At 39.0% G+C, this 14428-nt stretch overlaps 1 protein-coding gene across 11 annotated transcripts in view; it reads left to right on the forward strand.

Annotated features, from left to right (window-relative positions):
- The window catches only part of ATP8A2 (ATPase phospholipid transporting 8A2), a 653878-nt gene that overhangs the window by 326096 nt on the left and 313354 nt on the right, over positions 1 to 14428 (forward strand). For 10 of the 11 annotated variants that reach the window (NM_016529.6, NM_001411005.1, NM_001411006.1 and 7 more), the window contains one exon: positions 1104 to 1276. In NM_016529.6, the coding sequence (NP_057613.4) occupies positions 1104 to 1276 (173 nt within the window). Of the gene's footprint in view, positions 1 to 1103; positions 1277 to 7093; positions 7285 to 14428 lie in introns of those variants that run through there. The other variant, XM_011535113.3, reaches the window with a different exon arrangement.

Raw genomic sequence — 14428 nt, forward strand, 5'->3', positions numbered from 1 at the left:
TAATAGTCGTCTTCCAGACAGAATAATTTCAGCAGAATTCTGTGCTTCCCAATTAACTTAAACCATATTTTTTATGAGCCCAAAATTACATTCTTATATTTGAGTGAGATATCCTGTTCATAGTCATAAATTCACTGTGAAAACAAGAACGTCTGTTTTTTTTTTTTTTTTAAAGAAACAGGGTCTCACTGTGTTGTCCAGTCTGGAGTGGTGTGCTCAGTGTTCACTACAGCGTCAACTTTCCAGGATCAAGCGATCCTCCCACCTCAGCCTCCAGAGTAGCTGCGACTACAGACATGCAGCAGACACACACCACCATGCCTGGATAATTTTTTAGTTTTTTCGTAGAGACGGGGTTTCTCTATGTTACTGAGGCTGGTCTTGAACTCCTGGGCTCAAGCAGTCCCTCCTGTCTCGGCCTCCTAAAGTGCTGGGATTACAGGCGTGAACCACCGTGCCCAGCCCACTTTTTTTTTAAATCTAAAAAATGTTATTGTGCTTTAATTCCATGTGATAATGGACATTACACCAAGATGCTTTTAAGGCTGGTAGTAGTGTTTTGGTAGGTGTTGGCAGTTTAACTTGATTAGATACTTTCTATAACATGGGAAAAATGATCAGCTTATTTCTTACGCTGGCAATGCATGGAGAGAATGGTTTAATCTGAAGATCTCAGCAGGATTCAAAATTAATATTTTGTCATATTTTTATCTTTTGGATGCTTTAAAGATTATCTTATGCAAACTGAGAAATGTTAGTGTTTGCCATTCAAGTTCCAATAATGCTATCTTTCCCCAAAAAGCACATTTGTTTATATGGAGTTTTCTATTCTAGGGGCACCAAGAATAATGTGTATGTAGTGTAAAGAAGTGGATTATTGTAAATTTCTAACAGATCTCACTATGAAGATGTTTGTACCCATAAAACAGACCCAGAGGGCATTGCATTGAAATTTTAATGTATAAATGTGCAAAGCTGAACTGATAGTATATTTATATTAGAATGGGTGTGTTCTCATTTCAAGAAACTTAATTTTGAATTCTATTTTGTTTTTGATATTAAACACACAAAAAATGTGATTTTCCCCTATACTCTTGTTTCAGGCCACAAGGGCAGCCATTACTCAGCACTGCACTGACCTTGGGAATTTGCTGGGCAAGGAAAATGACGTGGCCCTGATCATCGATGGCCACACCCTGAAGTACGCGCTCTCCTTCGAAGTCCGGAGGAGTTTCCTGGATTTGGCACTCTCGTGCAAAGCGGTCATATGCTGCAGGTAGGAACCTGCAGGCTGTGCACAGTTCACACTCTGCTGTGTCTGTATCCCGTGCTTATACAAAAGAAAGGGATGCATGGGAATTCTAGGTTTAAAGTTTTGTATCTAAAAAAGGCAAAACAAAAATACAAATTTATTTTTAACTGTTGGTGCACAGATTTTGCAGAGGCAGTTAGTGGTTTTTACATTTTTGTTTTGTTTATTGTCTTCTGAGAAGATAAAAAGAGTAAGAACCAGGGCTTCCAGTCACATTCACCATGGGGGATAAATTGGAAAAACACTGCCTCAAGCCCCTTTGAGAAATTACTGGGGTCCAACCTACTGCACATGTCTGAGCTCAACTTCCAAGATGTGTGGGGCTTTGATGCTTCTTTTCTGGCGTTTGTTGGGGTATTTCTTTTCAGTTAAGGAGGAGCTTTGGTCGGGTTCATGTGATAGCAATTTTTGTGGTAAAATCTAACCAGAAATCTTTGTAGGTTCTTCCCTTCCTGGGAAGGTTTTTTTTTTTCAGTTGGCAGTGGTGGGGGATTGTTACATTCCATTGGCTGCTGGCTATGTGGAGGTCTAGTTCTGATAGAAATTTGAAAGTCAGACAGAATTATAAAGACAGTAAACCACTAGAAAGATGAGTGGTCACCAAAGGTCACAGAGAGCTGGAGGGGCTGGCTAGTGGAGCATCAGTAGTGGAAAGGCATGTCAGTTTTATGCCTATGGTCACAGGATATTCAGGGACCATGGGGATGAGGACAAATTCAAATGTGTTTGAAACAATGAGTGACAAGTCTGTTGTACCTTTAAGTCAGGAAACCTGGTGCAGCTGTGGGGGACCTGGTGCAGGGAGCAATGGCCAGAGCACCTTGAAATACACTGCTTCTGGGTTTTATGATGGCCTCCTTCTCTTTTCCTCGAATAGCTTGATTGTGATACAATTCACATACCATACAGTTCACCTATTGAAAGCAATTCATTGCCTTTGAGTATATTCACAAAATTATGTAACCATCATCACAACCAATTTTAGAATATTTTCATCACCCCGTAAAGAAACTCCTGTATCCATTATCAGTTAATCCCATCTTCCTGCACGCCTTCACCCCCATCCCAAACAACCAATCATCTACTCACTTGTCTCTCTAATTAGCCTGTTCTTTTTCTGACTTCTCTCCATCCCTGTTGTTTCATGTGTCAGTACTTCCTTCTTTTTATGGCTGAGTAATATTCCATTGTTTAGATGTAACACATGTTTATCCATTTCTCAATGTATGAGAATTTGGGTTTTTTACCCTTTTTGACTGTTACGTGTAATGCTACTGTGAAGATTGATGTACAAGCTTCTGTTTGGACGTAGGTTTTCGACTCCTCTGGGTACGTGCCTAGAAATGGAGTTGCTGGGTCATGCAGTAACTCCATGTTTAACCTTTTGAGGAACTGCGAGATGGTTTTCCAAAGTGGCTGCACCATTTCTGTTCCCACTGGCAATATGTGATTGTTTCAGTTCCTCCATATCCATGCTAACACTTGTCGCTAGCTATCTTTTTGATTAGTTAGGATGTGAAGTGGTATCGCATTGTCCTTTTGGTTTGAATTTTTCTGTTGATTAATGATGTTGATCGTTTTTTCATGTGTTTATTGGCCATCTGTATATCTTCTTTGGAGAAATGTCTATTCAAATCCTTTGCCCATTTTTAAGTTGGATTATCTTTTTATTATTGAGGTATAAGGGTTCTTTAGCTACTCTGGATACAAGTATCTCATCAGATAGATGATTTGCAGTTTTTCCCCTTTTAGGTTACCTTTTCACTTTCCTGATAGTATTACTTGCAGCAAAATTATTTTGACAAAGGCCAGTTTATCTATCTTTTTCTTTTGTGCTTTTGGTGTCATAGCTAATGAGCTCTCTTTTTAAAGTAGCTGATCCTGTGCTTTCTTTCCTGGGTTCTATTTGAGCAGTTTAGATTAGGGCTATGCAAATGGAAAACAGGATGGAAAGAATGGTGGGGAAATACTTTTATTCATAAATTTCCCTTTGTTTCTACATTGTAAAGCTGCTGAGTAGGTGGGTACCTGATTTTATGAATTTCTCCACACTGGAGGTTGTTACTGCTCTACCTCAGAGCCGTGAGTCATGGGAGTCAGCCACTTCTGCCTGCCACTGCCCTGTTGATCAAGGGGTCATCCCCCTGACTCGCTGGTGGACAAAAACAAGTAACAACGTGGAAAAGTCTGGTAAACTGTAACCCAATGCAAACACCCTAAAACCTTATAAGTTTTTAAGAGGGAAATCAAAATGAGTCCGTTGGATTCTCAGGGGAGATCCAGGAATGCCTGTAAGGGTTTACAGGAACATGTTCTTTTCTTGCCAGGTGCTTGATACTAAAACACACACACACACACACACACACACACACACACACACACACACTTTTTTCCCCTTCTTGCTGTGACTGCTTCACAGTGCTTTGTGTGTCTCATAGGCCATATACTTGAAGACTTCAAAGGGGAGTTCAAACTGGAATTGGCACAGAAAGAGGAAATTTCAAATTAAATACTGTTACAGTCTACAAAATGGAAGCATTAATTGAAAAAGGGAATTTAGGATAGTGCATCATTTTCCTGCTCTTGGAGACATTTCTTGGCTGATCTCATACTTAAGATTTTAAAAAAATCAACATGTACTTAAAAAAAAGAAAAAAGCACTTGTACACTTCAGATGTACTTACTATTCATTGAAAATTTAAACTTAAGCTAAATTTAATATGTGGCTTCAAACATAAAGTTGACCTTAATTTTCACTTTTCATCTTCAAAATATAATAGTTGTGAGAGTTACCTATTTCTCTAATAATGAAAGAAGTAATTTTTTTTCAGAAAATAACTGGTCTATGAAATCATGAAGCATGTTCCTATCAATATTGATTCAGAAATTGGTGATGTTGTATAGAAATAAATACCTTTAAACTAAAACAGTACTTTAGGCAGCAAAAAGAAGGGAATGCAAGAATTTATTAAATATTTTGCTGAAATTAGAATCAAACAATTTGCTAATTATGCATTTCTGTACCCGAATATTTTCCATATGGTTAAAATCCTAGAGAGGGCATATATAGTCAGCACTCCAGTATAATTTACTTTGTATCTGGCAGGGGTGTTGCCATGTAATTAGTTGAAGTGTAAACTGGTCCAGTCCAAGGTTTTTATTGTGGGCTTGCAAGTATTGTGACATTTACATTGCAAATTCCTAGTGTCATGGATGAATAAGGAGAGGAGACGTGGCCTTTGGTGTAGAAGTGCAAATAGTGAATAAGAGACTATGTTATTGTATTTGCCTCTATTCCTTTGCATCTCACATACATCCCAATTCCTTGAAACCCAGCCCTTAGTGAAGAAGGCATAGCTGGGTCTCCATCTGGCCACATGCAGCAGACTCCCTTTTGTGCTTGATTTTCAGATCCTTTCAGCATCTGGTGTTGAGGGCTCTTCCCTTGAGGGGTTCTCTTTTTCTTCTGTGGCACCTTTCTCTTCTCCTTAAGTTATCTGTCTCCTTTATGGGCTTTCTGGCTGCCTGTGAAGTGTTGTTTTCCCAAGGTTTTACCTCTGGTCCTATCGTATTCCCACTCCACATCTCCCCGTGTGCCTTCCATTTAATGTGTCGGATGGCCTCATTCATCTTATACATTAGTGACTTCTCACAACACCAGCTTCATATGGAATCATCTGGAGAACTTTTTTGTTGTTGTTTTTGTTTGTTTGTTTTGAGACAGAGACTCGCTCTGTTGCCAGGCTGGAGTGCAGTGGCGCTATCTCAGCCCACTGCAACCTCTACCTCCCAGGTTCAAGCAATTCTCCTGCCTCGGCCTCCCAAATAGCTGGGACTACAGGCGCACACCACTATGCCCAACTAATTTTTGTATTTTTAGTAGAGACAGGATTTCACCATGTTGGCCAGGATGGTCTCGATCTCTTGACCTTGTGATCTGCCCACCTCGGCCTCCCAAAGTGATGGGATTACAGGCATGAGCCACTGCACCTGGCTGAGAACTTTTTAAAAACATATTTTCCTCAAAAAGCTAAATCTGGAAAGTACCATATGACCCAGAAATTGCACTCTTAGGTAGGTATACACCCAAAAGAATTAAAAACAGGCACTCAAACAAATACTTGTATGTGCATGTCCATAATGTTCATAGCAGCACGGCCCACAGTAGCCTCAAATTGGAAAACAACCCACATATGAATCCATACGGTGGAATATTATTGAGCCATAAAAAAAAATAAAGTAGTGACATGTGCTACAATGTGGATGCAGCTTGAAAACAGGCTGAATGAAAGAAGCCAGTCACAAAAGACCACATATTATATGATTCCATTCCTATCATATACTCAGAATAGGCAAATCCACAGAGCCAGGAAGCAGGCTAGTGGTTGCCAGCGGTTGGGAGGAGGAAGAATGGCCAGTGACTGCTCAGTGGGCATGGGATTTCCTTTTGAGGATGATGAAGTGTTTTTGAACAGGCTACAGGGGATAATTGTACAACATTGTGACCATACTAAATTCCACTCAATTGAAAATGGTCAATTTTATCTTATGTGATTTCTACCTCAGTAAAATATAAATAAATGAATAAAAGAATTCATCCATTTAAATGAAATGTTTGTTGAATTAAAAAACTGATATGTTTGAATGAAAGTTCACTCATTTGAATGAAATGTTTGTTGATTATAAAAAATGAATCCTTTGAGCAGAAGTTTTGTTAGTTTAAATGAAATGTTTGTGGAAAGAAAAATAAAGAGTCTGATTCCCAGGCCCTTCCTCAGAGCAATAAAATCAGAACTCTAGAAATTCTACAAACTCCCCGTGGCACCTCTCTTCTCCTTAGTTACCTGTTGATTCTAAACAGCAGTCAGGGTTGAGAAGACAACTTCTGCCATCTGCTTGTCCAGCGTGGCCCCTCACTTCAGCTCCAGTTTCTGTACATCCAACCACATCTAGGACTTTTTTTTTTTTTTTTGAGGCAGTCTTGCTCTGTCACCTAGTCTGGAGTGCAGTGCCATGAACACAAACACAGCTCACTGCAGCCTTGACCTCCTGGGTTCAAGCGATCTTCCTGTTCAGTCTCCCAAATAGCTGGGACTAGCATGCCACTATGCCTGGCTAATTTTTAAAATTTTTTTATAGAGATGGAGGCTTGCTATGTTGCCCAGGCTGCTCTCAAACTCCTGGCCTCAAGTTATCCTCCTGCTTCCTCCTCCCAAAGTGCTGAGATTACAGGCATGAGCCACAGTGCCAGGGCCTTTTGACAGCATTAGCAAGCATGGTTTTATATCTAGGGGACCTTTAGAGAGATTAAACCATATAAGCACATTATTAAATTGAGGTCAGACATTAAAATCTCTTAATTTGTTTATCCTTTTCAGTATTGCATTTAGTTTTATAAATAAGGAAATAAAGGCCTCAGAAAAATTATATCATGTTGTCTGTGGTCTCAGCTAGGAGTGGAAGAGATAGCATTTTATGTTCTATCTGAATAATATCAGGGCCTATGCTCTTAAGTCACACAGTTGGCTGTGTCAGCTAATTCATTGTCACACGTTTATTACTGATAATACAGTTTTGCACGAAAGTTTTGCTTTTCACATATTTTTCAACTGTCTTATATGTTTAGACTTATTCAAGAAATCAACATAAAGTCTTGTAGGATTTGTCATTCTCCAAAGGGGTGAAAGTTATGTGGAAAATGTGTAAACCATTTTCAATATGTTCAAGAAAGAGTTATCTGTTCTTTCTTCCCCCTTTCTCATTTTCCCTTTTTCTTTGAAGGTCTTTATTTTTGTCCAAATGGAGATAAATTCTCTAGCACAGACTACCAGGGGAGAGGACTTTGACCTCTTGAGAACACTCAGAAATCTTTAAAGTGACTGTCTCGTCAGGAAAAGAGTCATGAAAGAATCATCAGTGACCCCCTGTGAGGACGTTAGTGATGGCCCCATCAGAGTCCCCAGCAAATACAGGTGACATGGGGGCCGCTGGGCACTGCCTCATTAGCAGATGTGATTTACGGCTTCACATCTCTGGGCAAGAGATGGAGTGGAAGGAAAACACCGCGGCAGGGATTTCCACGGGATGTGCAAATTAAGGGTTTCCAAAGGCATCATTTATTTTCTCTGATATGTTTAGACTTCTGTCTTTCAGGATAGATTCAAAGATAAACATGTATAAGCCTGCTGTGATATCATAGATTTGAAAACAGGAGAGAGAAAAAGGCCGAGTGGACGCACTGAATGTTTAAAAAGACTTCTTGGGTTTATTTTTCTAACTGTAAGAGTGATTTATATTTTTTGTAAAAAATTAGAAAATACAGACAAACAAGAAGAAAGAAAATGGCATTCACAATCCCCCCAACTAGGGATTAGCACTGTTGACAATTGGTTGTGAAGTCTTGATCTCCTTCTGTGAAAACACTTTTCATTGGACGAAGGGTTACACCTTTTACAATATGCAAAGTTAAAGGTTATACACAGTTTCTATGTCAAATTTGTTTTTTAAAAGCATAATGGTGTTCTGTTATATGAAAACACAGCAATTAATTTATTCCTAATTGATGGATAGTCAGGTTAACAATGTTTTTTACATGAATAGTTGCAAAGACACTTGATGATGTCCATAAAACAATAATGGATTCAAGGATAAGCAACATAGAAACTTGCAAAAGGGCTTGTAGCCTTAGACTCAGAAAGTAAGATGAATTGGCTTAGAGTCAGAGAGAGATGACTAGTAGCTTAGTCCCTGCTGGGACAAACATATTCTCCTCTGTTTAGTAAGCATAGTATGGATTCCAAGCCCCAGTTTGGGGTTTGTTAGCCTCACTAAGAAAGGGGAGCAGTTTAGAGGTTATTTTGTGAAAGTATGTATATGTATACATGTATATATATACTGTCCAACATTTTAACACACTGGCAGTGTATCATTCCCAACGTCAGGTCAGTCTTCCAGCCTATCCTAAGCTTATCACTCACTTAGCCTGCATTAAAAAACCTGGTGGACATCTGTCTTAACTTTAGACTACTTAATGTAGAAAAGAACTGGCTCTTCTGATTTGGTTCCTTCCCCAGCTTAGCTTTTTTACCTTAATGAGGCATGATGGATAATAGGAAATCAGAACGTTATGCATTTTGTGTGTGGTATCCTTCAGCCTGTGAACTACACACAGAATTATGTCAAAACAGAGTTCAGATGCAGTAATTAGAATTGTACCACCAATTGTGTTTTAGTTGGCCTCCATATTGGTAGGGATCCAATTGTACACTTGCACAAATAAAACTTTTCTTTAGTTTCATTCATGATGTGATTTCTCAGCATCATGAACGATTAGTTATAAGCCAGCTTCCTACTTTGACATCCTATTCCAGAGAGCATTATTAACTTGTCGAGGCTGTAAGTCTATCCTTGGGCTGTTTGATTGTGGCTTAGTATATATTTGCCCATTTGTTGATTGCATGCAATTAAGGTAGAATTCACTTTTAGATAGGTTTTTTTAAATTTAACTCTAACATGAATGCTATTGTTTGAATGATTACAGCAATTTTATTTGGTTCTAAATGGCTTCATTGTTATTTTATTAAGGATGAGAGCGCTCAGATGTAATAGTTCTTCAGCACCATCTTGGAAAAAAAATTTCTCAAAGCCCAAAGCTTAAACACTGTTTTTCCACCCACAGATCTTACCATAATTTCTCTAGAATAAAACTAGACTGATGCAGATTTTGTAGTATATTAAAAATAGCTCACGTGAATCATTGTAGAGGCCAGAATATGTAGAGACTTGAGTATTAATCTAAAGTAGGAAAAGGAAACCATTTCTAAATAATTATTTACAGCTTAGGAAAAAAAACAAGCTTTTTGAAATTAAAGCTAATTTTGATGATAGCACATTTAGAAATGGAGGGCAATTCTCATCTTAAATACCTATTGCAGCAAATAATTTATATGAATTACTCTATAAGATCAATTTCTAACTGTTAGGGATTTCTGACGTTTTGATTCCCCTCTAACTAAAAGTTATATATCATCACTATCTGGGTGTTACTATTTCAGGTGAGAAATTTTTTAAAAAGTAGCGTATCAACTTTGTTTCTTATGTCCTGGACTAATAAAACAATTTGGTGGGGAGCAATATAGTACATGTGATAAAAATGTGGACAAATATTTAGTATAAGATTGAAAATACAGGAAGCTCTTCTGCTTGTCAGCTATGAGCAACTGAGTGAATAGACGTGGATAACATGTTGAGAATACTTGCCAAGGGGCATTTAATAATGAGGATTGATCTATAATAATATGCTGTGTAATTGGGAACACATCTCTTTGGAGTTTTTTTGGCTTATAAAATTATTACCATATCATTTTGCTTATATAGTAGACCTACTTTTCCTAATGGTTCTGAAACCTGATTTACATGGCACAAGTTCCCCTCCACTGAGTACCTTCACACTAGTGTTTGTTTGCAGAAGCTCAGATGCAAACTGAACAGTGGGAGTAATGAAGCCCTTTCCTCTTTTGGCAGTAGTCTAAGAACTATGGTAATAGGGTCTGTGTGATCTCCCATCCATCCGCTCTGCAGCTTTCAACACATGGGGACCCTTGTGAGACACCAGAAGAGCTCACAGACACATGACTTTTCAAGACTTTTCCTGTGTTTCTTTTTTTCCTTTCCCCTTTTTCATGAATGATTACTTCATCAGTGCATGTCATTTTTGACAATACTGCTTGCCAAATGAAACAGGGTGATACGAGGTCACACTGTGGCCTAAAATTCTGAAGTAGAAGCTCATAATATTTGGCATCTTTCCTACTAGAAAAACAAACCAGAAAAGAAAATCAAGAACAGAGCTTAATTAAACATGTGGAATATGTCATGAATATTTATGTCCCCAAGTCTTGCCTTGTGATGGTATTTGTACTTAAAGTGCTTTTTCTCCTCTTTCCTGTGAAATAATTCAGAATGTGTTTCATTAATACAAGAATGTGTCATGTTAACTTTCATCAGGAAAAAATTTCACTTCTGACAACACTGACACCTTTCTGATTGAAAGTATGCAAAATAGCTCTTACGTTAATTGGTCCCAAAGAAAATTATGTTATCCATTTTCCTGTCTATACATCTGACACTTTCCCTCATCTGTCACCTCCTGAATTATCAATGCTTTCCCTTGCCTGATTTTGACAGCCAGTATTCTGCCTATGACTTTAAAAACCATAAAAAAAAAACTCCATCCTGGGAGCTTTACTGTCCTCCAGTTTGAATAGGAAGCCCCAAGATTACAGTCAGCAAGGTGTAGCCACATCTACTACTATGCCACATCTAGACTGCAGTTTCTCTATTTTAAGCCTCTCCCATTGTTTCTTACTCGTTGAACTTTAGAGAGGAAACAAATGACAAAGAGGAATGTTTATACTTTTTTAATATTTAGTCTTATTTAGGGTCACAAGTAAATTTTGTCAGCAGGAGCTAGGTCAGACTGACAGAGCTAACTAAAGTTGCCAAATTTTGGGAGCCTGTGCTTGGTTTGAGTTTTATGATTGGTGATGTCTGCGCCTTATGACCATTGTCATCTGCAGAGCTTTGCTGGGTCAGCAGAGTCTGAGAGGGTCTGTTGAATGATTTGGTTTCTGTTGTTTCTTGTTAACCAGTTAACTGAGCTCTGTGAGAGTCCCAGGGCTGAATTGTCGCCAGTGGTTTAGTTTCTGACAGGCCTGTAAGTGAGAGAGGCAGACAGACAGAGAGACAGACAGACACCCCCTCCCCAACCGTCCCATCAAATTCTTGACACCTGGGTCATCTGAGCAAAACAGAGCATGCATTTTTTTCTCTTACTAAGCAAGTATTCATAGTGGCGTCCTTTCACCACTTGGACACACCAATCATTAAAGACCAAAGTAAATACACCAAGTTGAAGATAATCCTTTCACAAATATACAAGTGCCAAGTTAAAACTGCCTGTCAATCATTTGTGCATTTTTCCTTACTCTTGTCTGTTTTAATGGATGGGTGTGGTATGAAGATATTAGAGCTTGAGAAATTAGGATTCCTGTGTTATCACAATTATTTTGCCTCTTTACAGATGATTGAACCTTAAGTTCTTAATTTCTCTATATAAAATCATGATGAATAGATACTGAGTTTTTTTTCTGAAACAGAATAACAATAGTAGGGAATATATGTTTCTATGTAGATACATGAACACATGACTATACATTTAAGCTCAATGTTTTCAAACGATGATGCTTCACATTGAGAAATGAATTTTGAATTATCAAATATGGGAACAAGTTTAACAATAATATAGAAGCAGATTAAGTCTTTTTTTAAGGGAAAAAAGTAAATGTTGAATGATATTAGTTTAATGACACTTAGATCTGAATTTATAATCCCGTGTACCTATAACTGTAGTATTAGCCTATGCCAATATAAACCTAGTTATAATACTTAAAAATAATGAATAATGAATGCAATTAAGGGCTGATACCAACATTTCTTGAAGTTTTGAAATAATTATAATTAGAGATGTTAAAGAAATAAAGTAGGATCTTTCTGTGGTCATATTTGTGTTTCCTTTATTTGAAATCTGCTGCCAAGAGTCTTCAGGATAACTCATCGCTGGGTGTCTTGCATTTCTACATTTCTACTTCAGAATGTCTCAAGCTCAAGATTTCTTTGGTTTAGTTTCACATGTGTTTAGATAATGTTGTGGAGAAGGAGGAGACTTTTATTTTTTTTAATTTTTAATTTTAAAGTATGGATACGTACTAATTGTACATATTTATGGGATAAATGTGATGTTTTGATACAGGCATACAATATGTAATGATCAGATCAGGGTAATTGGGGTGTTATCACCTCAAGCATTTATCTTTTCTTGAGTGTTAGGAACATTCCAACTCCGCTGTTTTAATTATTTTGAAATATACAATAAATTATTGTTAACTATAGGTGTCCTGTTGTGCTACTGAGCATCAGATCTTATTCCTTTTATCTTACTGTATGTTTGTACCCGTTAGCCAACCCCTCTGTATCTCCCATCCTCACCACTGTTCCCAGCCTCTGGTACCCAGCATTCTACTTAGGAGAGGACTTTTAGACATCTTATAGGTCTCCGTAAGATCTATTTTGTATTTGATCCTAATATTTTTTTGAAACAGGCTTTTATTAGTGTGGTTGAACAGGTAACCACACTGCTTGTCAGGCCAGCTCCCAGGACTGGCCAGGCTGTTCACTGTGACCCAACTTGAGGGAGTACCTACTGTTTAAGGTTGTTGGGTGAACACAAATGGCACAACCTTTGCCTGCCTAGAGGGCTCAATCTGGTGGGAAGGCCAGTCTGGTTATGACAAATGGTAACACAGTCACAGCATGAGGTGCTATGAAAGCTGAATCTTGGGAGATGACACAGCCTAGTAAACTCCAAGGGATGAGTGTGTGGTGGGAAATCCTAATGCCATCAAGAGGCTAGCACTCAAGCTATCGTGATGTCCAGACCCTCTGCAAACACTAACATCTACTACTCCTGAGAATCCTGAAAATGAAGAGGAAAGTTATTGCTCTTATTTTATAGGTTAGCGAACTGAGGCATAGACTAACAAAGATATATCCTGAGGTCCTCTAGGTATTTTTTTTGTTTTCTGAGTCAGAGTCTCACTCTGTCGCCCAGGCTGGAATGCTGTGGTGCGAACTCAGCTCACTGCAACCTCCGCCTCCCAGGTCAAGTAATTCTCCTGCCTCAGCCTCCGTAGTAGCTGGGATTACAGGGGGCGTGCCACCACACCCAGCTAATTTTTGTATTTTTAGTACAGACAGGGTTTCACTATGTTGACGAGGCTGGTCACGAACTCCTGACCTCAAGACACCAGCCCTCCTCGGCCTCCCAGAGTGCTGGGATTACAGGCGTGAGCTACCGCGCCTGGCCAGTCCTGTAGGTATTAATGAACAGTTTCAGGATTTGAACTCTGGAGTCCATGCTGAGAGACTATTCTAAAGATAATGGTATGGAATTAAAGTATTTTGAGCAGAGTAGCAGAGCTAGATCACAGGCTGGGCATGGTGACTCATTTCTGTAATCCCAGCATTTTGGGAGGCTGAGGCGAAAAGGTTGTGTGAGGCCAGGAATTCTAAACCAGCCTGGGCAACACAGTGAGACCACATCTCTATATTTAAAAAAAAAAAATTTTTTTTAAAGCAAACAGAGCCTTAGGAGAAGGCAACACTATGGAGGTCAAGTTAGAGTTCATATGCAAGGTAGAGGCCCGTGTAATACTTCAATTTAGCACATGTTAGACTTCCACTAGGGTCACAAGTCTCTGGCACATAGTAGGTGTTAGAAAGAAAAGTTGGACTGAATTTCCAGATTCTCTGGAATGGACTATGATCCAGATTTATAGTCATTTAAGAGTTAGAATCTGTAATTCTTAGTGACTGACTGAATGTACTTGGGGATGGTGAGATGGGGTAGAGATGAAGCACTGCTGTAAGAGAGCTCATGTCAGAGGGGGTCCTGGAGGAGGAGTTCATTTCCAGCATTGTGAGATGTTTAGAATTACCACCAGCTGCTGGGTGTTCACTTCTGGTGCAGGTAGGATTCTGCCAAGCCCATATTCTCCCAGTTACAGGCTATCAATCTATCTGAAGCTAGAAAAAAAATGCCTCCTTATTTATTTATTTTGTATCTAGCATTTACAGAATGCCCATTTCTGGTTAGTCACCATAGTGTACAGGGCTATAGGATGAAAAGGAGAGAGAAACCATGAGTCAAGGATACAGTCTCACTCCTGTATCAAGTTACTTTGCTTCAACCAGATGTATTTATTAGACTGCTCTTTGACTTTTGGCTTAATGGGTCAGGGGTGTCCACAGAGTTCCCCATTAGAAAGGAATTCTTCTACCTATCTCTCAGTCTGCACAGTACCATGAGGGTCTTCATCTTCCAGGTGTGGAGGTGGCTTATGTCAGTTAGTGCTGCTGCCCACTAGAAACCCTGGAGCCTGGAAGATGAGCCTTGTAGGAAATACCTCTTTCTAGGTGCACACTCAGGACTACGAGAAATGTTGAGGAAGGTGAAGGATTCTCCCATAACTCAGTCCTCCTGGGCAGGTGACTGGCGGG

Source organism: Homo sapiens, chromosome 13, assembly GCF_000001405.40.
Source record: "Homo sapiens chromosome 13, GRCh38.p14 Primary Assembly".
NCBI classification, from domain to species: Eukaryota; Metazoa; Chordata; class Mammalia; order Primates; family Hominidae; genus Homo; species Homo sapiens.